Source organism: Homo sapiens, chromosome 14 (genome assembly GCF_000001405.40).
Source record: "Homo sapiens chromosome 14, GRCh38.p14 Primary Assembly".
Classification (NCBI taxonomy): domain Eukaryota; kingdom Metazoa; phylum Chordata; class Mammalia; order Primates; family Hominidae; genus Homo; species Homo sapiens.
The window spans coordinates 73,375,847-73,400,511 of record NC_000014.9 but is presented as its reverse complement, the minus strand read 5'-3'; the positions used below and the strand labels follow the sequence as shown (position 1 = coordinate 73,400,511).

Below are 24,665 nucleotides of genomic sequence, written 5' to 3'. Positions count from 1 at the left end.
ATATGTCAGGAAAGGGCAAGAAGACCAATTATATGTTTCATAATTTGTTATAATCGATAAACCCACATTGACACATTATTTTCACCCTAAGTCCTTAGGTTACATTAGAGTTTATTCTTGGTGTTGTACTTTCAAGGATTTTGGCAAATGTAATGACATGCATCCACCACTGTAGTATCATGCAAAATAGGTTTACTACCCCAAAGATTCTCTGTGCTCTGGCTGTCCATCCCTTCCTCTCACCTAACCTTTGGTAACCACTGATCCTTTTCCTGTCTCCATAGTTGTGCCTTTTCCAGAATGTCATATAGTTGGAATCATATGGTATATGTAGCCTTTTCAGATTGGCTTCTTTCACTTAGTAGTGTGCATTTAAAGTTCTTTCATGTCTGCTCTTCATGACTTGCTAGCTCACTTGCTTGCTTATTCATTTATATATTTTTACTTTTTTGTTTTTTTTTGTTTTTGTTTTTGAGACAGAGTCTCACTCCATCGCCCAGGCTGGAGTGCAGTGGCACGATCTCAGCTCACTGCAACCTCCATCTCCTGCGTTCAAACGATTCTCCTGCCTCAGCCTCCCGAGTAGCTGGGATTACAGATGCCACGACATCCAGCTAATTTTTTTATTTTTGTAGAGATGGGGTTTCTCCATGTTGGCTAGGCTGGTCTTGAACTCCTGACCTCAAGTGATCCACTGGCCTTGGCCTCCCAAAGTGTTGGGATTACAGGTGTGAGCCACCATGCCTGGCCTGTTTATTTTTTAGAGACAGGCTCTTGCTGTGTTGCCCATGCTGGAGTGCAGTGGTGTAGTCATTGTTCACTGTAAGCTCAAACTCCTGGCCTCAAGCAGTCCTCCTAGTTTAGCCTCTGGAGTTGTTGGAATTACAGATGTCAGCCACTGCATATGGCTAAGCCTTTTTTTCTCTGGCATATTTTTTTTTCTTTTTTGAGACATAGTTTCTCTCTTGTCGCCCAGGCTGGAGTGCAATGGCACAATCTCGGCTCACTGCAGCCTCTGTGTCCTGGGTTCAAGCAATTCTCCTGCCTCAGCCTTCCAAGTAGCAGAGATTATAGGCATGCGCCACCACACCCGGCTAATTTTGTATTTTTAGTAGAGACAGGGTTTCTCCATTTTCGTCAGGCTGGTTTCTAACTCCGGACCTCAGGTGATCTGCCCGCCTCAGCCTCCCGAAGTGCCAGGATTATAGGCGTGAGCCGCTGTGCCCGGCTCTGGCATATTTTCAGTCCATAGCTGGTTGAACCCATGGATGTGGAGGGCCAACTATTTAATATGCTTAATGTAAGTAAGTGCTTATTTTTGAAATATTTTCATATTGTTTTGTGTGTATGTGTTTTTAATCCGTATAATGGTATTATGCTGTGAATCTATTTATTCTTTTTTGATCAAAAAAAGGAATTATGGAAGCGCATACTGTATTTGTAAATCTAGTTTACAACAACTGACTGTTGTATAATGTTCCATTGTATATGTATTTCCACATTTTACTTGTATGTTTCTCTAATAATTGATACCTAGGTGTGTTGAAAACTAAAACAAATAGTGCTGCTGTGTACATCCTTATGCATATATCCTATTGATATGTGCAAAGGTTACTCTAGTATATACCGAGAAAAGGAATTGCTGACTTGTGGCCCGTACACATACTTAATTTCACTAAATATTGCCAAGTTGTTTTTTAGAATGGCTACCCAGTTTATGCTCCCACCAGTAGTAAATTAGAATTCCCATTTCCTTAAATATTCACCAATATTTGGTCTTATCCATCTGTTTAGCCTTGTCAATCTGATGGGAATAAAGAAGTATATTGTTTTAATTTCTATTTCTGTGATTGATTGTGAGGTTGGGCATCTTTTCATTTACTTGTTACAATTTGGGTTTCCCCTGCTTGGTGACTAAAAAAAAAAAATACCCAAATAATATATATTTGCTGTAGATATTTTTGAAAATACAAATGGGCAAATATAAAAAGATCATCTATAATACCCTAATCCAGAGATAATTGCTATTAACCTTGGCTATATTTTTCTGGTCTTTAAACACACACACACACACACACACACACACACACACACACTCTCTCTCTCTCTCTCTCTCTCTGTGTGTGTCTCTCTCTCATATACAAATATGTAGTTTATTAATGGGATTATATACACAGTTTTCTTACATTTTTTCCTTTCACAATAATTTATGACCATTTCCCCATGTTGTTAGAAATTTTAAAATATCACCATTTAATAGGTGCATATTCCATTTTATAGCTTTAAATTATTTAATCTTCTATTGTGGGATATTTAAGCTATTTTTGATTTTTTTCCGTTAACAATTTGGTGAACTGTTAATCAGACCTACATTTTTATGTGGCAAAGCTAGTGGGATTATATTCCTGCTCTTTTTGTGAAACTGGGTTTTATAGCACATGCATTGCAGGCTGTCTTAGGCTATTTTCCGCTTGGATTCTAGGGCAGCTGTTAATGCTTCGTTTTGTAAACAGACACTTCTAGCCCTTGATGCTCCAGGGCTAGAGTTCAAAGACTTCTCAGCTGGGCCTTTACCATTCTTTCTTTTTCCACTTCATCAAGGCCAGGTTAACACAGAAGGAGAGTGCAGTAGTAGACTTGTTCTTAATGTTTAAATATCAATGTCTTCTTTAGAGGGGGTGCAAAACTTCCAACTATACAGAACTCTTAATCCAAACCTTTATAGACACATATATGAATGAATGTATGTGTGTGAATATTTAATGACCAGAAAGATATAGCCGATGCAAATAACTTCATTTTTAATTGTTAATAGATTTTTATTATAAAAGTGAGAATGCTCATAAAACAATTAAGAAAATACAGGAAGACATTAAGAAAATCCCTAAAATTCTTTTACCCAAAGATAACTGCTTAATTACCATTTTGCCTTATATCTTGTTAGATATTTTTCTAGTTAGTGTGCTTGGACCAGCTAGCACTATCTCACCAGAGCCAATAATTAAGAAGTTATGCAAGCCCAAATTGTTGGTAGCTTGATATTAGCAATGGTGGGATCAGCTACATCAGTGAATTTGGCAAATGCTACAAAGCAGGGCTTCTTTCTCCCCGCTGAATTCCTCCCCAGGCTGGCTTATCAGTACACCACTGCATGCATATATATCATATCAATGAATATAGATCTTCATTTTTAATGGTTTCATAGAAGTCCATTTTTTAGATCAATGATTCTCAGCATGGTCCTTGGACCAGAGATACCAGCATTACTTGGGAATTTGTTAGAAGTGCATATTCTTGGCCTCCACCCAGACCTACTGAATCGGAAACCTGGTTTGGGGGCCCAGGAATCTGTGGTTATTTTGTTTTGTTTTGTTTTGTTTTTTTGAGACGGCATATCACTCACTCTGTTGCCCAGGCTGGAGTGCAGTGGTGCGATTTCAGCTCACTGCAACCTCTGCCTCCCGGGTTCAAGTGTTTCTCCTGTCTTAGCCTCCTGAGCAGCTGGAATTACAGGTGTGCGCCACCATGCCTGGCTAATTTTTTGTATTTTTAGTAGAGACAGGGTTTCACCGTGTTGGCCAGACTGGTCTCAAACTCCTGACTTCAAGTGATCTGCCCAACTCAGCCTCCCAAAATGCTGGGATTACAGGCATGAGCCACTGCGCCAGCTGCTATCTATGGTTTTACAAACACTTTAGGTGATTCTGATACATGCTAAATTTTGAGAACCACTGGTATAGATATACCGTAAATTATCTGATTGGTCTGATGATTCTGTGTGAAATATTCCTCAATATATGTTCATTTTAAGGTCTTTAGTTGCATATTGCAAAACTGTATTCTAAAAAGGCTGGTGGCTCACACCTGTAATCCCAGCACTTTGAGAGGCTAAGACAGGAGTATCAGTTGAGCTCAGGAGTTTGAGACCAGCCCAGGTAACATAGCAAGGCCTCGTTTCTCCAAAACAAAAAAACAACAAAAAAAATACACAAAAAAACTAGCCAGGCCTTGTGGTATGGGCCTGTAGTCCCAGCTGCTCTGGAGGCTGAGGTGGGAAGATCCCTTGAGCCCAGGAGTATGAGGTTCCAGTGAGTTATGATTGTGCCACTGTACTCCAGCTCGGGCCACAGAGCAAGACCTTGTTGCTTAAACACACACACACACACACACACACACACACACACACACACCCCTAATAATTAAAGTAAATAGATAGATTAGATAGATGGATAGATGGGTAGATGGATGGATAGAGGGGCAGGCTGGCTAGGTATGGTAGCTCATGCCTGTAATCTCAGCACTTTGGGAGACTGAGGCAGGAGGATCACTTGAGCCCAGGAGTTTGAGGTTACAGTGAGCTATGGTCGTGCCACTGCACCCCAGCCAGGTGACAGAATAAGTCCCTATCTCTACAAGAAATAAAAATAAAAAATTAGCTGGTGTATGGCATGTGCCTGTCTCTAAAAAATAAAAAAAATAAAAATAAAAAAGACTATGTTAGTTTTCATTTCTACCTGAAGTTGATATCAACTCCAATTTAGACTTATTTTCCATATATAGAAGAAACAGCTATGTTAAGGATTTTATTTCTCTTTCAGCTGTGTCTGTATCCATCTAGCCATTCTAGAACTCAATTCACCTTCATTGTCTTCAACAATAATGTATTTTAAGGTTATTTCCATTTTTTCAAAGAGGACAGTTGAGACACAGGAAAAACTATGCATTGCCTGTAGAACACCTAATGTCACGTGTAGCTATACATATGAATACCTACTTTTAATCCCTATGTGAATGATTAACCTATGTTTCATTCCTCATCTCTGGCACATTAACATCATTCTGGAATAACCCCTTTTAAATTTAATTTAAATTTTAATATTTTATTATTTTACAGACAGAGTCTCGCTCTGCCACCCAGGCTGGAGTGCAGTGGTATGATCACGGCTCACTGCAGCCTTGACCTCCCGGGCTCAAGCAGTCCTCCCACCTCAGCCTCCCAAGTAGCTAGGACTATAGGGACACACCACTGCCAGGCTAATTTTTGTATCTTTTGTAGAGATGGGGTTTTGCCATGTTGCCCAGGCTGGTCTCAAACTCCTGGGCTCAACCAGTCTACCTACCTCTGCCTCCCAAAGTGTTGGGATTATAGGCATGAGCCACCACGCCCAGCCCACCACCCCTTTAAAATGTATTAGGATTCATTGCAGCATTTATTCACAATAGCCAAGATAGGAATCAACCTAAGTGTCCATCAACAGATGAATGGATAAAGAAATGTAGAGAGTGTGTGTGTATGTGTGTGTGTGTGTATACATCATGTGTAGCTATACTTATGAATACCTATTCTAATCCCTTTTTAATCCCTGTATTTATTATTGTATTAGCTCTGTTTCCCAGGCTAGAGATACAGCCACATGTAACACACACACACACACACACACACACACACACACACACACACACACACACACACAAACACACGAATACTATTCAACCTTAAAGGAGATCCTTTCATTTGCAACATTGTGGATGAACCTGGAGGACATTATGCAAACTGAAATAAGGTAGGCACAGAAAGACAATGTGGCTTTATTAAAAAACAAAGATTGCCGGGTGCTAATATTGACTTTTATTCTGAATATAAACATGAAAGAATAAAAGAATGTGAAATGTTATTTTTTGTTTCAAATGAAGAAATGCATAAGCAAAAAAAAAGAAAAGACAGACAAATACTTCATGATTTCACTTATAAGTGGAGTCTTGAAAAGTCAAATTCAGAAACAGTCTGGTAGAATGATGGTTGCCAGGATCTAGGGAGGAAGAGAGGGAACAGGTCAAAGGGTACAAAGTTTCGGTTAGGATGAATAAGTTCTGGAGATCCCTTGTACAACAATGGTGACTGTAGTTAATAATAATGTATTATATACTTGAAAAGGAGAGCAGAGTGTGGTGACTTGTGCCTGTAGTTCCACCTACTCAGGAGGCATAGGCCAGAGGATCACTGGGGCCCAGGAATTCAAAGCTGTGGTGAGCTTTGTCACACCACTGCACTTCAGCCTGGGCAACAGAGTGAGACAATCTCTCTCTCTTTTTTTTTTTTTTTTTTAAAGAAAACTGCAAAGACAATAAATCTTAAATGTTCTCACAAAACCAAAATAAGTATGTGAGGTGATGGATATGTTAATTAGCTCAATTTAACCATTTCACAATGTATACATACATCAAAACATCACGTTGTATATCATAAATACATAATTTTTATTTGTCTCCCGGGATGCAGTGGCTCACGCCTGTAATCCCAGCACGAGGTGGGTTGATCACCTGAGGTCACGAGTTCGAGACCAGCCTGGCCAACATGGTGAAACTCTGTCTCTACTAAAAATAGAAAATTAAAGGGGCATGCCCATAATCCCAGCTACTTGGGAGGCTAAGGCAGGAGAATCGCTTGAACCCGGGAGGCAGAGGCTGCAGTGAGCCAAGATCGCGCAATTGCACTCCAGCCTGGGCACAAGAGTGAAACTCCGTCTCAAAAAAGAATAATAATTTTTATTTGTCAACTATACCTTAACAAAAAATTAATTTTAAAATTAAATTTAAACAGTTAAGATTATGCAAAAAAAGTATTAATATTAAGACCCACTTGCTATGAAAGTTGCTACTAATGGTGCAAAGCTATTAGAAGAGGGGAAAAGATCCCAGCAAAAACTTGTGACTCTTCTTGGCTCAGAGAGACAATAAAATGAAAGTGCTTTATTTTAAAGACTTTTATTAGATTAGGAGCCAGAATTCACAAGTATTGGTGAAAAGAATAATAATTTAGGCAGGTTTGCCATATTTCATTGGCACTGGGTTATTGACACCTAGTGTTTTTTGATGATGCATTGTTACTAAAGAGCAACTGCAAACATTAAAACTGGCTCTTATTCCAGCCTTCCAGCCTTCAGTGACTTTTTGCTAGAATGAGTGCTTTGTAAACAAACTGTTGATTTTATGATGGCATTAGAGTCTGTCAAATTGCCAATCTTCCAGATTTATACAGCCTTAGAAATCATGTGATTTAATTAAGCATTCCATGATTTTGTTCTTATTGCTATCTCCAAAGTTTATGTTCTTGACCTAACAATTAGTTGTCAGAGTTACTGCTCTGAAAGAAATGGTGAATATTGCAATTGGAATGATAGCCCCCTTATTTTATAACTCATCTTACCTTCCACTACAGTGTGGTAGACTGGATAGCTGTCTAGCCTTAGTCAAGCCACTTAATTTCTCTGTGCTTTAGTTTTCTTACCTGTAAAATTGGGCTGCTGAAAACCATCTCAGATTATTATCAGGATTAAATGCAATGTGATATATAATGTGCACAGCACTGTTCACATAGACACTTAGTAATTTATAGATTCCTTTCAACTTCTCAACTTCTTTTAATATGAGTAAGTGTTCTTCACAGTTCCCTCTTGATAATTTCCTCCCCTCACCACTGTTAACCTTTTTGGGTTCTTATCCTTCTTGCAGAATCTGACGTAAGCAGTGACCCCTCCTCCCAGAAAAACGCACATGTCTATTAAATTTTGCCTACAACTTTGGGACTTCATAGAACTCCCCCCGCCCAGAAAAAAATCCCCCAATCTCATGTGTGGACCAGGTTAAGGATCCTCTTACCCTTGGTAGACTTACTCAGTTTTCCTAGCTTTGGTTGTCATCTCAGTGTAGATGGTTCCTAAATCTGGTTTTCTTTCTTTTGAACTGCTACCTGCTAGATGTTATCATGGTGTCTTAATATAATAGAGAATCAGTGAATGGAAGAGTAAATTGCAACATTTAATTATTGTTATTATAGGCCAAATAAATATATGACACTGTGTGGCTAGACTTAGAGATCTGTGTTGACTATAAACTACAGCCAATAAAGTTTAATCAGGTTAGATATCGACTAAGGCACAACTGTCTAATTTCCTGAGGTATTGATTGAAGCTTACTTGTAAGCTTGTGAAACAGTTTCAGTCACAGTTCCAAGTGTGGTAGCCTCTTTCAGATTGCAGGCTACCAGCCAAAATGTCTTCTCATCTGAAAATCTATTTCTCTTTCAAATGTTATCATGGAGAGCTAGGTGTTATTAGAGCCTTTGCATTCAACTTTTTCACTCATTCACAGTTTTAGTTAGGACTCATAATTGCAGGGGACAGAAACCCATTTTAAGGGGGAAAAAGAGTTATTGGCTCAAGTAATTAATTAATCCAATCAAACCTGATATAGCACAGATTTAGGGGCAAGAATGACCTTCAGGGGCTTTTACTTTGATCCTGTATTTCTCAGCTCTGTTTTCCTTTGCCTCTTGGCCTTACTTCTCCTGAGATGAGCTTTCTTCAGGTAATCAAGGGAAGATGGTTGCAAGCACCTCCAGTTCACATTGGTTGTATAGTTGCAATCCTACAGGAATCAAGGTAATATTTCCCCATCATGTAAAAAACAAAACAAAGCAAAACAAAAAACCCTGGGGAAGATTTTGGACTGGCTTGGGTGATTTAGTTAATGTTCCCTGCACTTACTCCTCTTCCGTATATACACAAAATGGGTAGGAAGTTCCCCAGTAGAATTGGTAAACAGATGTACAACAGTCTTCCAGGATTATTTTATAATAAAGTATTTGAGTAGAACCCAATTCTGTGGACAATAGTAGTCTTTTCATCTCTTAGGACATTTAATGAGATTGCCAGAAAACTACAACTCCTCCCACCTCTACCTGTTGGTATCACTTGATTGCTGAATTACCTATATAAATAGTTCTCAAATGTGCACCATCTAGGGGCTTGTTAGTAATGCAAATGCTGGGGCCTCATCCCAGACCTACTGTGTTAGAAACCTTAGGGGTGAGGCCCAGCAATCTGTACATTAAGCCATCTAAGTGATTTTTATGTATGCTAAAGCTTGAGAACCACTGACCTTTATCATGGATGCTCACAGCTGTCTGAAATAGGAGAATGAATCATTGTTAGAGTAATTAGTGATTTTATTATTGACAATCAATAATAAAAATAATTATTTAATTAAATAATAAACCCCTGACAGATGCAACTGAAAATGATTTTTTCTTTTTCTTTTTTCTTTTAGATATTTGTGTCCCATGTGATAGAAATGATTTTTTAAAATTTAAATTTTTGCAAGATTATTATCTGTATAATTTCAGTCATTTCAGTTCTAAGGAGATGCAGTCATCCAAAAAAAAAAAAAGAAAAAAAATCCACTGAAAAGGATTTTTTCATTGCCATTTATACACCAGTGAGACCAAATATGTTTATGCACGATGGTTTAATTCCTTATACAGTCCTATGAAATAGGTCATAGTGTTGTATCCCCATTGTTGCTGAAAAGAAAACCAAGGCTGAGAAAGGTTTAAAAAGTTGGCCAAGGTAGAGTATCTAATATAGCAGAAAAAGAGTTTGAATATATATTCAACCTCTATTTTCAAAAATAGAGGTTGAATATATTCAACAAGTCTTATATTGAGGGCCTATAGTGTTTCAAAACCTGTTGTAAGTATCAAGAGTATAAAAATACTTAAGACCAGCCAGGTGTGGTGGCTCATGCCTGTAATCCCAGCACTTTGGGAGGCCAAGGTGGGCGGATCACCTGAGGTCAGGAGTTCAAGACCAGCTTGACTAACATGGTGAAACCCCGTCTCTACTAAAAATTCAAAATTAGCCGGGCGTGGTGGCATGTGTCTGTAATCCCAGCTACTCAGGATACAGAGGCAGGAGAATTGCTTGAACCTGGGAGGTGGAGGTTGAAGTGAGCTGAGATCACGCCACTGCACTCCAGCCTGGGCGACAGAGCAAGACTGTCTCAAAAAAAAAAAAAAAAAAAAAAAAAAAAAAAGACTTTGTTTTTGTCCTCAAGGAAATCAGTCTTATAAATAAGACAGTAGGGTAATGATTTCTATAACAAAGGTATCTCAAGAGTGATTTGGGAAACAGTGGGGGGAACATCTGACTTTGCTTTGGAGGATTGGGGAAGGCTTCAAAGAAAGATTGGATCTTTGATGTTTGAACAGATAACATGAAAAATTCCTTTGATAAATACAAAAATCTCACTTTAATGTTTAATAAAATTTCAAAATAAATTAATTACTGTTTCTAAAAGCAAATCAAACCAATGATAACTTTGGAATGTTTTTTCAAACTACATTTGCCCTCTATTCCAATATGCTAATATGTTCTTGGAGGAGGGGCTCCTCTTAGCACTTAATAATTTTAAAAGTCACATTGTATGCCGTGGTTTAGATATACCATAATCTATTCAACTTGTTCCCATTTTTTGATAATTAAGCTTATAATTTTTACTATCACAAATGGTATTACAATGAACATTCTTTTACATTTACCTTTGTGTACTTATATTATGCCCTTAGTATAGCCCCTAGAAATAGAATGTTGGATCAAATATTTCTATTATGGATTTATATTTTTTCTTTTCTCATCTGTCATTTTCCTTTATTTTTTAAAAATGTTCTTTACATGTTTTCCTAACATGGGTTATGTTATAATGTTTTTTGGTATATTTCATTTTTGTAATAAGTATATAAAATGTAGATTAAACTTTTGGTGGTCTTTTGGTATATAAACCTATAGGATAAGGTGGTGCACATAACCTGTGTGTTTCTGATAGTATCATTTAAGGTAGTACATTGAAGAGGAATGAATGCAAGTGGAAATCAGGAGGTATACATTATTATCCCATTTTAAACAGTGACTATTGAATTATATAATTTCAAAGTCATTTTCTTCATGTGTGAACTTCCTTATCTTTGAACATGAGAATAGTATTAACTTTAAACTTTTGCCCTCCTTATAAAATGAAGAGATGGGCCGGGCACGGTGGTTCACACCTATAATCCCAGCACTTTGGAGGTTCATGCCTGTAATCCCAGTGCTTTGGGAGGCCGAGGCGGGCAGATCACAAGGTCAGGAGATCAAGATCATCCTGGCTAACACAGTGAAACCCTGTCTCTACTAAAAACACAAAAAATTAGCCGGGTGTGGTGGCACGCACCTGTAGTCCCAGCTACTCAGGAGGCTGAGGCAGGAGAATCGCTTGAACCTGGGAGACAAAGATTGCAGTGGTGCCACTGCACTCCAACCTGGGTGACAGAGCAGGACTCCGTCTCAAAAAAATAAATAAAGAGAAGATATGTATAAAACAGAGACCAGTGTTTTTGTTTTTGTTTTTTTTTTTTTTTTTTTTTGAGAGATGGAGTCTCGCTCTGTAACCCAGGCTGGAGTTCAGTGGCGCAATCTTGGCTCACTGCAACCTCAGACTCCCGGGTTCAAACGATTCTCTTGCCTCAGCTTCTCAAGTAGCTGGGAGTACAGGTGCGCACCACCACATCCAGCTAATTTTTTTTTTTTTTTTTTTTTTTAAGGCAGAGTCTTGCTCTGTCGCCTAGGCTGGAGTGCAGTGGCGCCATCTTGGCTCACTGCAAGCTCCGCCTCCCGGGCTCACGCCATTCTTCTGCCGCAGCCTCTCTGGTAGCTGGGACTGCAGGCGCCCGCCACCACGCCCTGCTAATTTTTGTATTTTGTTTGGTAGAGACGGGGTTTCACTGTGTCAGCTAGGATGGTCTTGATCTCCTGACCTCGTGATCCGCCCACCTCGGCCTCCTAAAGTGCTGGGATTACAGGCGTGAGCCACTGCGCCCGGCCCATTGTATTTTTTATTAGAGACGGGCTTTCACTATATTTTGGCCAGGCTGGTTGCCAACTCCTGACCTCAAGTGATCCGCCCGCCTCAGCCTCTCAAAGTGCTGGGATTACAGGCGTGAGCTACCGCACTCAGCCTCAAGGTTTTATAGTTTGAAGGTGGCTGGTTAAATATACACCTGTCAAGTTTCTTCCTTAATATTTGATTTACAAATGATTAAAAGTGTAAAACTGAGTTATCAGATCCACAATAAAGAAACAACGTTGATTTTTAAATTAGATCAGCCATAAGCCTAGCTGAAAAAAAAAGATACCAACTTTATTCTATATAAATAACTTATTCTGATAAACACCAGATTTACTTTCTGCTATAATACAATCATTAAAAGTTTAAATTTATTTGACTTTTTTAAATTAAAAAATATTTCCCCACAAGGAAGTTATATCTTACAAGGAAAGGTTTTCCAGAATTTTAGTTTTAGTGATAAGGTTTCTTCTATTAGAATTCTTAATGTATTAGTCCATTCTCACACTGCTAATAAAGACATACCCGAGACTGGGTAATTTGTAGTGGAAAGAGCTCATGCCTGGCCCAGAACTTTCTGAAACGAAAATGTTCAATATTTATGCTATCCAATATGGTAGCCATTAACCAGCGAGCACTTGAAATGTGGCTAGTTTGAGGAACTGAAGTTTTATTTTATTTTATTTTTTTAGAGACAGGGTCTCACTTGGTCGCCCAAGCTGGAAGTGGTATGATCATAGCTCACTGCAGCCTTGACCTCCTGGTCTCAAGTCATCCTCCTCTAGTAGCTGGAGCTATAGGTGCATACCAGCTAATTTTTTTTTTTTTTTTTTTTTTGGTAGAGACAGAGTCTTGCTTTGTTGCCCAGGCTGATCTCAAACTCCTGGGCTCAAATGATCCTCCTGCCTCCCAAAGTCCTAGAATTATAGGTGTGAGCCACTGAGCCTGACCTAGAGATTTAATGTTATTCCATTTTAATTAATTTAAATCAAAATAGCTACATATGACTAGTGGCCTTTTTGGTTTTTTTTTTGTTTGTTTGTTTTTGTTTTTTTTTTTTTGAGATTGGGTATTGCTCTGTAGCCCAGGCTGGAGTGCAGTAGCATGATCTCAGCTCACTGCAACCTCCGCCTCCCAGGTTCAAGCGATTCTTGTACCTCAGTCACCGGAGGTCTCTTTAATTGACTCACAGTTTAGCATGGCTGGGGAGGCCTCAGGAAACTTACAGTTGTGCCAGAAGGGAAAGCAAACACGTCCTTCATATGGTAGCAGGAAGGAGAAGTGCCAAGCAAAAGGGGAAAAGCCTCTTATAAAACCATCAGATTTTGTGAGGTTTTTTACAAAAGGACTCCCTTGTAGCACTTCAATATCCTTTCTTATCCTTTTCTCTACCCCTAAAGGAGATACGATACCATGACCTATTTCACAGGATTGTGTAAAGAATTAAACCGTCGTGTATAAACATATCACTTGCTATCATGAGAACAGCAGCATGGGGGTAACCGCCCCATGATTCCTTCGCATGACACATGGGGATTATGGGAACTACAATTCAAGAGGGGATCAGGGTAAGGACACAGCCAAACCATGTCACTTAATAAGACACCTGATAGGCCGGGCGCGGTGGCTCACGCCTGTAATCCCAGCACTTTGGGAGGCCGAGGCGGGCGGATCACGAGGTCAGGAGATCGAGACCATCCCGGCTAAAACGGTGAAACCCCGTCTCTACTAAAAATACAAAAAAAATTAGCCGGGCGTAGTGGCGGGCGCCTGTAGTCCCAGCTACTTGGGAGGCTGAGGCAGGAGAATGGCGTGAACCCGGGAGGCGGAGCTTGCAGTGAGCCGAGATCCCGCCACTGCACTCCAGCCTGGGCGACAGAGCGAGACTCCGTCTCAAAAAAAAAAAAAAAAAAAAAAAAAAAAAAATAAGACACCTGATAGATTGTCTTGTATTATTTTTCCTTTGCCTTCTTACAATCTCAGTGATTAGAATTGGGCTGAAAACAATACATCAAATTCTCAGCAAAATCCTTATGGGTTGCTGGATACCGAGGGTTTTTAAGATCTTTAGACTTCACTATATAGAACAAATGTTGAATGGGAATTTTCTTTATTTCTATAGCGTTTTGTTTTTCTGTCAGAATTTCCTGGTAGTTAAGGCTAAGGGATTTTCTTCTTGCAATCAGGAGCCTAAGGGAGAGTTATTCAAAGCCTTTTTTCTTTGTGGTATGTGCTTACCAGGCAGAGTAGTCACTGTATTCCAATAAGAGAACCTATTGCCAAAACACCCACTAGAGCAGAAAACTGACCTACTTAATGCTGACAAGTTAAAAAAAAATCTGGAATTGTAGCAGCGTTGGATCAACTTCTTTCTCTGGTGGTGTATGGGTGGGTAGTGGTAGAGAAAAGGATAAGAAAGGATATTGAAGTGCTGCGAGGGAGTAAGTAAAAAGTAAATATTTAATTACCTGCAATCTATTCAATTAAAAGCTATATATCTGTTGCAATTTGAAGGTTTTTGAAATACAGAAGTTCTTTGTTTTTTGAGATGGCATCTCACTATGTTGCCCAGGCTGGAGTGCAGTGGCTGTTCACAGATGCCATCATAGCATGCTGTAGTCTCAAACTCCTGGCCTCAAGTGATCCTCCTGCCTCAACAATAGCTGAGACCAGAGGCTTGCACCCCTGATCCTGGTTAATAACAGTTCTTCTTAAATCACTTTGAACTATTAAAAAAAAATAGGAGGTTCCTAGGACTTTCATGGTAATATTCTAGAAAAGCCCGCTAGTTAAGGTTGTCAGACAGCATTTTATCAGTGTACAATACTTCAGAATCTATAGATATTGAAATAAAAGTACTTATTTGAAGTAAGTAACTGTGGGCCTTAACTATCAAACTCATTTTCTCCATTGCAACGAATTTTTCAATTACTCCGATCATTACTACCATCCAAGTTTTAGAGCTGTGCCTTTCATTACAGAAGCCACTAGTGGGCAGGCACGATGGCTCATGCCTGTAATCCTAGCACTTTGGGAGGCCGAGGCTGGTGGATCACTTGAGGCCAGGAGTTGGATACCAGCCTGGCCAACATGACGAAACCCAGTCTCTACTAAAAATACAAAAATTAGCCGGGTGTGGTGGCACATGCCTGTAATCCCAGCTACTCGGGTGACTGAGGTACAAGAATCGCTTGAACCTGGGAGGCGGAGGTTACCGTGAGCTGAGATCATGCCACTGCACTCCAGCCTGGGCTACAGAGCAAGACCCAATCTCAAAAAAAAAAAAAAAAAAAAAAAGGCCACTAGCCATATGTAGCTATTTTGATTTAAATTAATTAAAATTAAATCTCTAGGCCAGGCTCAGTGGCTCACACCTATAATTCTAGGACTTTGGGAGGCAGGAGGATCACTTGAGCCCAGGAGTTTGAGATCAGCTTGGGCAACAAAGCGAGACTCTGTCTCTACCAAAAAAAAAAAAAAAAAAAGAATTAACTGGTATGCACCTATAGCTCCAGCTACTAGAGGAGGATGACTTGAGACCAGGAGGTCAAGGCTGCAGTGAGCTATGATCATACCACTTCCAGCTTGGGCGACCAAGTGAGACCCTGTCTCTAAAAAAATAAAATAAAATAAAACTTCAGTTCCTCAAACTAGCCACATTTCAAGTGCTCGCTGGTTAATGGCTACCATATTGGATAGCATAAATATTGAACATTTTCGTTTCAGAAAGTTCTGGGCCAGGCATGGTGGCTCATGCCTGTAATCCCAGCTACTCAGGAGGCTAAGGCAGGAGAATCGCTTGAACCTGGGAGGCAGAGGTTACAGTGAGCCGAAATTGTGCCATTGCACTCCAGCCTGGGCAGCAAGAGCGAAACTCCGTCTCAAAAAAAAAAAAAAAAAAAAATTACAGTTATTTGGCTGGGCATGGTGGCTCACACCTGTAATCTCAGCATTTTGGGAGGCCGAGGCAGGAGGATCACTTGAGCTCCAGAGTTCAAGACCAGCCTAGGCAACATGGCAAGACCTCATCTCTAACAAACAAACAAACAAACAAACAAAAAAGCCAGGCGTGGTGGCACGTGCCTATAATCTCAGCTACTTGGAAGGCTGAGGTGGGAGGATGGTTTGAGCCTCGGAGGCAGAGGTTGCAGTTAGCCAAGATCACCCTATGGCACTCCAGCGTAGGCGAGAGAGCCAGACCCTGTCTCAAAAAAAATTATAGTTTTTTAATTTTATGCATGTATTTCTTCTTTCTTGTATGTATTGTTGATTCTTTCCTGTGTTACTGTGCTTCCATCTGGGATTATTTTCTTTCTTCATAGACTGCACTTTTCTTTTAAGTGTAAGTCTATTGGTAATGAGTGTTCTATTTTTGTCTGAAAGCATTTTTAGAAATTTTGTCTTAAGCCAGGTGAGGTGGCTCAAGCCTGTAATCCCAACCTTTTGGGAGGCCGAGGCGGGTGGATCATGAGGTCAGGAGATCGAGACCATCCTGGCTAACACAGTGAAACCCCGTCTCTACTAAAAAATATAAAAAATTAGCTGGGCATGGTGGTGGGCCCCTATAGTCCCAGCTACTCAGGAGGCTGAGGCAGGAGAATGGTGTGGAGGAAGACTCCGTCTCAAAAAAAAAAAAAGAAATTTTGTCTTAATTTTAAAAGGATAGTTTTATTGGGCATAGAATTCCAGGTTGGCAGTTCTTTTCTTTCAGCATTTTAAATATATCATTTTATTGCCTTCTGACTTCATTGTTTCTATTTTATTTATTTATTTTTTTGAGACAGAGTCTCACTCTGTCGCCCAGGCTGGAGTGCAGTGGCATGATCTTGGCTCACTGCAACCTCTGCCTCCTGAGTTCAAGCGGTTCCTCTGCCTCAGCCCCTCCCAGTAGCTGGGACTATAGGCGCGTCCCACCATGCCTGGCTAATTTTTGTATTTTTTGTAGAGACAGGGTTTTACCATGTTGGCCAGGCTGGTCTCGAACTCCTGACCTCAGGTGATCTGCCCACCTCAGCCTCCCAAAGTGCTGGTATTACAGATGTGAGCCACCGTGCCCAGCCCCCCATTGTTTTTATTAGAGAAGCAATGTCTTCGGTTTTTAGCAGTTTTCAGTAAGATGCTTACGTGGTTTTCTTTCATGCTTTTTATGATTTTCATCATTTAAGATGTTTCAGGTCCGGAGATCCTCTAGGATCTGTAGCTTGATGTCTTTTGTCAGGTTTGGAATATCTCTTCTGATATTGCTTCTGTCTCATTCTTTCAGTTCCCTCTGGGATTCTAGATAACTGTATGTTAGATCTTTCTCTGCATCTCACATGTCTCTCATGCTCTTTTCTGTATTTTCTATCTTTTTCTTTGTGCTCCATCTAGATATTTTCTGTTGACCTTTTTTCTAGTTCAGTTAATGTTCAGTCTGCTATTAAAAGCATCTGCTATATTGTTAGTTTTATATTATGTATTTTTTAGTTCTCGATTTTCAATTTAACTTTTTTTTTGTTTTCATAGATTCCAGTTCTCTGGTGAAATTCTCATCTTGTCCTCTATTTTCCTGAACATATTAATCACAATTATTTAAAGTCTGTGTGTGGTAATTAACAATGTCTGGATCCCTGGATCCCCATTTGATCTTTCTCTTTTTTTATTTTTTGAAGACAGAGTTTTGATCTGTCACTGAGGCTGGAGTGCAGTGGCACAATCTCAGCTCACTGCAACCTCTGCCTCATGGGTTCAAGTAATTCTTGTGCCTCAGCCTCCCAAGTAGCTGGGATTACATATGTGTGCCACCACGCCTAGCTGATTTTTGTATTTTTGGTAGAGACAGGGTTTTGCCATATTGGCCAGGTTGGTCTCAAACTCCTGCCCTCAAGTGATCTGCCCACCTCAGCCTCCCAAAGTGCTGGGATTACAGGCATGAGCCACTGTGCCCAGCTCCTATTTGATCTTTTCCTATTGTCTTCTTTTTTTCTCTTGATTTTCAGTCATTTGGTTCTGTCTCCTAGCATTCCTGGTCATTTTAAAAATGAATGTCAAACATCATATATGGGAAATAATAGAGGCTCTTTATGATGATACTGTTCTGTAGAGAGGATTTGTTTTTCTCCTCTCTGATGGTAGTTAAAAGTAGGAGTAGATGACATTGTTGTAATATGGACTTGAGATGATCTGAGGCTTTGTTTTATGGTTCTCAAGGGCTGGTTTAAATCTAGTTTCCACTTCAAGAGTATTGTATTTCAGAGGTACCAGAGGTACCTAGGGTATGTGTCAGGGCCTCTCCTTCTTGTCAGGCCCTGGACTCTTAATTTTTCTGTGAGACTACCTAAAGTTCTGCTTACTTTTTTTTTTTTTTGCTATAAAAATAGGCACTTTGGCTGGGCGCAGTGGCACTTTGGGAGGCTGAGGCAGGTGGATCACCTGAGGTCAGGAGTTCAAGACCAGCCTGGCCAACATGGTAAAACCCTGTCTCTACTAAAAATACAAAAATTAGCCAGGCATGATGGCATGCGCCTGTAATCCCAGCTGCTCAGGAGGCTGAGGCAGGAGAATCACTCGAACCCAGGAGGCGGAGGTTGCAGTGAGCCAAGATCGTGCCATTGCACTCCAGCCTGGGCAACAAGAGCAAAACTCCATCTCAAAAAATAATAATAATTTTAAAAAGGCACTTTGCCTCCGCATGTTGGGATTCAGTAAATACCCCAAGGGCAAAAGCAATATAGCATGTCCAGGCTGTCTTTTCTGTGATTGCTTTTTTTCTGGGATTTTAGCGCCACAAATCTGCCTGTCTTGGTAGCTGTGAACTGTAATTTCTGTCGCTGTGAGGTTTCCAAAAGCTCTGGTTTGAAGCTGGTTGCCCCAGCAGAAACAAAGCAGTGGAGAATGTCAAGCTTAACTCTGCATTTTATTTTTCTCTGGTATTTTGGCCTGTCTTCTCTTACTTGCATTATTTATTTGTTTTTATTAATTACTTATAATTATTTATTACTATTTATTCATTTTTAAACAATATTAATTTATAATAAAACAGTATTAAACAATTTTAAGCATATTTTAATCACTGCAGTAAGGCAAACATATGAGGATTCTGCCTTCATGCAGCTTATATTCTTGTAGGGAGGAAAGGTGCCTTTATTTAAAATTGTGATAAGGAGATGTACAGAGTGTTATGAACTTCTTATAGTGGTAGCTGGCTTAGTTAGAGTGGGGGATGGTCAAGGACAGCTACTTTGAGGAAGTAATATTTGAGCAGAGCTCTGAGGATGAGTAGAATTAACTTAGGGAAAAATAATGGGTTGTTAGAACTATGTATGGCTTAGAGACCTTGAAGGGAAAAGAAGCATGGCAGGTTTAAAGCATCAAAGAAGCTTGGTCTGATGGGCAAGGGCTAAATCGTTTCAAGCTTTATAAGCCATATTAAGGATTTTCTTACCTTTTTTTTTTCTTTTTCTTCCAATTCTGTTCTGATCATTGGTCTGACTCTAATATACCTTCTCTTCAGTGTTTTCTGTCCCAAGACAGAGAGATTTATCTAGTTATTTATTGTATAGAAATATATTAGGTACCTTTCATAGACAAGGTTCTAAATTAGGTACCGAGGTTGATTAAAGACAATGTGGAATGCTGCCTTTAGATTTAGACAAACCTGAGTTTAAGTATTAGTTGTCTTATTAACTGTGTTTCTTTGGAGCAGTTATTTAATATCTCTGAACCTGAATTTTCTTGCTGGTTAAATACTAACAATAAAAGTGATAATAGAAGAATTAAAAGAACTAATTGAGGTCGGGTGCAGTGGCTCATGCCTGTAATCCCAGCACTTTGGGAGGCTGAGGTGGGCAGATCACTTGAGGTTAGGAGTTTGAGACCAGCCTGGTCAACATGGTGAAACCACGTCTCTACTAAATACAAAAATTAGCTGGGTGTGGTAGCACGCACCTGTAATCCCAGCTACTTGGGAGGTTGAAGCAGGAGAATTGCTTGAACCTGGGAGGTGGTGGTTGCAGTGAGCGGAGATCGTGCCACAGCACTCCAGCCTGGGTGACAGAACAAGACTCTGTCTCAAAAAAAAAAAAAAAAAACTAATTGATGAATGTGCCCAATCAGTGGTGGTGCTTATTAGTATTATCATACAACTATAAAACACAAATTCTACTTTCAGGGTACCTAAGATCTATGGGATCATGGCATACACCAATAGTTACAATATAACAAATAGTATAAGAAATGAAAAAAATTGGTGATTCAGAGGGAAGAGTTACTACATTCAGAGTTGGGGGTTAAGACTATTTAATGATGAAAGTGACATGTGTGCTAGAGTAGGAACTAGCTTGTCATTAAAAAAATTTAGTGTGACATGTAACTATCTCAGTCATAAACCTTTACATTTTATCAGGCTAACAAACTTTTGATTTGTTCCCTTCAACCTGCTCCTCCTTCTGTCTGCTGCATCTCACAATAAATGGCAACTCCATTCTTCCGATTGCTCAGGTCAGCAATCTTAGAGTCATCTTTCACTCTCACTCTGTATTTCCAATTCATTAACAAAATCCTGTTAGTTCTACCCATAAGATAACGTCCAGAATCCTACCATGTGCAGAGGTCTTGGAAAATGACTGTGGATTATTGTAAACCTACTCATTTGGCAATTTCTGTTGCAGCTAGGCTTCAGATGCGGTTTCTCCTGGAGCTGGGGGCGCAAACAGGAAGTGGACCATCTCCCTGACATACCTCTACTGTTGTCACTCTGGTCCAAGCTATTGTCACCTCTCATCTGGATTAATTTAATAGTTTTCTAACTGGTTCCCTGTTTTATGATCTATTTATAATACAATAACCAAGGTGATTCTTAAAAAACATAAATCTCGTTATTCCTACTCTCAGAACCCTTTAGTAGCTTTTACCTTATTAGGAACAGAAGCCCAAGTACTTGGAATGGCCTCTGAAACTTTCTGAAACATTCGGCTTTCTTTCCAACCTCATTTCCTCGCCTCCCTTCACTTAGTATATTGTACCCACATCATCTCCTTGTTATTCCTCTAACACTGCAACTTCCATCTAAAGGACTTGTACACTTGCCTCAGGACCTGTACACTTGTTCCTTCCACCTGGAGTGCTCTCTTCCACCTATGTACTTGGGCTTGCCCTCTTACTACTCAACTGCCTTTAGATCTGTTTGCTCAAATATAACCTAACAAATGAAGCCGTCTCTTAACTATTTATTTAGAAGAGCCGCCTCCTTTCTACCCTGTTCCCCAATCCCAACACTTTCTTTTCTCCAATCCTACTTGATTTTTCTTTATATGTCTCAACATATTATGTATTTGTTTCTTCATTATTTTGACAGTCTCTCCAAATAAAGTGCAACTACCGTGAGGGTAGAGGGTTTGTTTCATTCTCTGCTATATCTCTATAGAAGAATACTTATCTTGTAATTAGTTGTCAATACATAATTTGTTGAATGAATGAACATGTTTTCTGGTTCAAGTAATAATTTTTTTTACAAAGTTCATTAAAAATCATTTTTAAATTAAATTAAAAAGCAACACTTACGTGCTTTCCCCTGATGAAGGAGGAGGAAGTACTAGTTTTTTGAGAAATGATTTTTGATAAGATTTAGAAATGTGAGTTGCTTGATAGTTCAGGTAGTTGAGTTAATTGGGTAAAATGCCATATATAAAGGGCAAATGTATATGGTTCCATTGCTCCTTGATCATGGAGAGGTCTTTTTAGCCGCCTCTTTGAATCTGGTGGCAATTTTTAAGAAAATAGACTTTATTTTTAAGAGGAGTTTTAGGTTCACAGCAAAATTGAGCAGAAAGTACAGAGAGTTCCCATATTTCTTCTGCCCCAATATAGGCACAACCTCCCCACTATCAACTTCCAGCACACATCTTTATTACCCAAAGTCCATAGTTTACTTTAGGGATAACTCTTGGTAGTGTACATTCCCTGGATTTGGACAAATATGTAATGACATGGTCTGCCATTATAGTATAGTACAGAATAATTTCACTGCCCTAAAAATCTGTGCTCTGCCTGTTTATCTTTCCCAGACCCCTTACCCCTGGCAGTTACAGGTCCTTTTACTGTCTCCATAGTGTGACATTTTCCAAAATGTCATGTAGTTGGGGTCATACAGTATGTAGCCTTTTCAGATTGGCTTTTTTCACTTAGTAATATGCATTTAAGGTTCCTCCATGTCTTTTCATAGCTTGAAGTCTTATTTGTTTTTTAGCACTGAATAATATTCCACTTTTTGAATGTACCACAGTTTGTTTATCTATTCACCTGCTGAAGGACATCTTGGTTGCTTCTAAGTTTTGGCAATTATGAATAAAGCTGTTGTGAACAACTGTGTGCAGGCTTTTGTGTGGACATAAGTTTTCCACTCATTTGGATAAATACCAAGTAATGTAATTGCTGGATTGTATGTGAAGAGTATGTGCAGTTTTGTAAGCAACTGCCAAACTTTTCTAAAGTGGCTGTGCCATTTTGCATTCCCATCAACAATGAATGAGGGATTCCTGTTGCTGGAACTGCTTCTCAGAATTTGGTGTGGTCAGTGTTTTGGATTTTGACCATTCTAGTGGGTGTGTAATGGTATCTGGTTGTTTTAATTTGCAGTTCCCTCATGACATATGATAATTTCTTTTCATATGCTTATTTACCATCTGTATTTCTTCTTTAGTGAAATATGTTCAAGTCTTTGCCGATTTTTAAATCAGGTTGTTAGTTTTCTTACTGTTAAGTTTTAAGTTTTTTGGTATGTGTGTGTGTGTGTGTATGTGTGTGTGTGTGTGTGTGTGTGTATGTGTATATATATATCTATATGTATGCATGTGTGTGTATATATATCTATCTCCAGGCTGGTGGCAGTGGCGCAATCTCAGCTCACTGTAGCCTCCACCTCCTGAGTTCAAGCAAATCTCCTGCCACAGCTTCCCAAGTAGCTGGGATTACAGGTACCCGCCAACACACCTGGCTAATTTTTGTATTTTTGGTAGAGACAGGGTTTCGCCATGTGGGCTAGGCTGGTCTCGAACTCCTGACCTCAGGTGATCTGCCCGCCTTGGCCTCCCAAAGTGCTGGGATTACAGGCGTGAGCCACCATGCCCGGCCCTATATTTTGGATAATAGTTTGTTGTTGTTGTTGTTTGTTTGTTTGTTTGAGACGGAGTCTCTGTCACCCAGGCTGGAGTGTAATGGCATGATCTCGGCTCACTGCAACCTCCACCTCCAGGGTTCAAGTGATTCTTCTGCCTCAGCCTCCCAAGTAGTTGGGATTACAAGCATGTACTACCAAGCCCAGCTAATTTTTGTATTTTTAGTAGAGATGGGTTTCATCATGTTGGCCAGGCTGGTCTCGAACTCTGGACCTCAAGTGATCTGCCTGCCCCCCTTGGCCTCCGAAAGTGCTGGATTACAGGCATGACCCACTATACCCAGCCTGGATAATAGTCCTTTATCAGACATGTTTTCTGCAAATACTTTCTCCCAGTCTGTTGCCTGTCTTCTCATTCTCTTGACTGTGTCTTTAGTAGAGAAGAAATTTTAAATTTTAATGAAGTCCAGCTTATTAATTATTTCTTTAATGGGTTGTGCCTTTGGTGTATATTTTAAAAGTCATTGCCTTACCCAAAGTCATCTAGATGTTATCCTATGTTATCTTCCAGGAGCTTTATAGTTTTACATTTTACATTTAGGTCTGTGATCCATTTTGAGTTAATTTTAGTGAAGGATGTTAAGGTCTATATCTAAGTTCTTTTTCTTACCTTTTCTTTTTTCTTTTTCATTTGGGTGTCCAGTTACTACAGCACCATTTGTTGAAAAAGACTGTCTTTTCACCATTGTGTTGGCTTTGCTCTTTTGTCAAAGATCAGTTGACAATAACTAACTAAATAAATATTTTTATTTATAGAGATGGGAGTCTCACCATGTTGTCTAGGCTGGAGTGCTGTGGATTCACAGGCACAGTTATAGCACACTGTAATCTCAAACTCCTGGACTCAAGCAGTCTTCCCACTTCAGTCTCCTGAGTATCTGGCATGCCAGGCACACTCACCATACTCAGCTCCAGTTGACTGTGTTTATGTGGGTCTGTTTCTGAGTTCCATTGATCTATTTGTCTGTATTTTTGAAATACCATACTGTCTTGATTACTGTGGCTTTATAGTAAGTCAGTTTTGAAATTGAGTAGCATATTGAGTTGGCTATTCTGGGTCTTTTGCTTCTCTTTATAAAGTTTATTTTTATTTTTACTTGTTTTTTTTTTTTCCATATAAACTTTAGAATGAGTTTGTCAGTATCCACAAAATAACTTGTCGGGATTTTGACCAAGTTGGGAAGACCTGACATTTTGACAGTATTGAGTCTGCCTATTCATGAACATGGAATGTCTCTCCATTTATTTAGATTTCTTTAATCAGTTTTTTCATTTTTCTTGTGTAGATTTTGAAAATATTTGATTAGACTTATACTTAAGTCATTTTTGGAGGGTGCTAATGAAAATGGTATTATGTTTTAATTTCAAATTCAGATTGTTTATTACTGGTATATAGGAAAGTGATTGACTTTTATATATTAACCTTGTGTCCTGTAACCTTGCTATAATTGCTTATTAATTCTGGAAGTTTTTTCATTGATTCTTTCAGGTTTTCTACATGGGAAGTCTTGTCATTTGTGAACAAAAACAGTTTTCTTTCTAACTTTCCAGTCTAAGTTTTATTTCCTTTTTTTGTCATATTGCATTAGGACTTCCAGTATGACGTTGAAAAGGAATGATGGGAGGAGACATCCTTTTCTTGTTCTTGATCTTAATGGGAAGGCTTCTAGTTTCTCACCATTAAGTGTGATGTAGCTGTAGGGTTTTAAAAATGGACATGCTTTGTCTTGTTGAGGAAGAATCTTTGTGTTCCTAGTTTGTATAAAATTTTTATCATGAATGGATGCTGGATTTT

General features: G+C 39.3%; 1 protein-coding gene across 5 annotated transcripts in view, besides 1 other annotated feature; it reads left to right on the top strand.

Moving 5' to 3' along the window:
- The window catches only part of NUMB (NUMB endocytic adaptor protein), a 183,331-nt gene that overhangs the window by 58,035 nt on the left and 100,631 nt on the right, over nt 1-24,665 (top strand). The window lies entirely within an intron of this gene.
- Nucleotides 2,316-2,819: an enhancer, noted in NCBI's record as "NANOG hESC enhancer chr14:73864401-73864904 (GRCh37/hg19 assembly coordinates)". NCBI's record gives its function as "activates a minimal SCP1, AML or CMV promoter by ChIP-STARR-seq in naive H9 embryonic stem cells {active_cell/tissue: H9 hESC(naive)}" and the evidence as "EXISTENCE:reporter gene assay evidence [ECO:0000049][PMID:30033119]".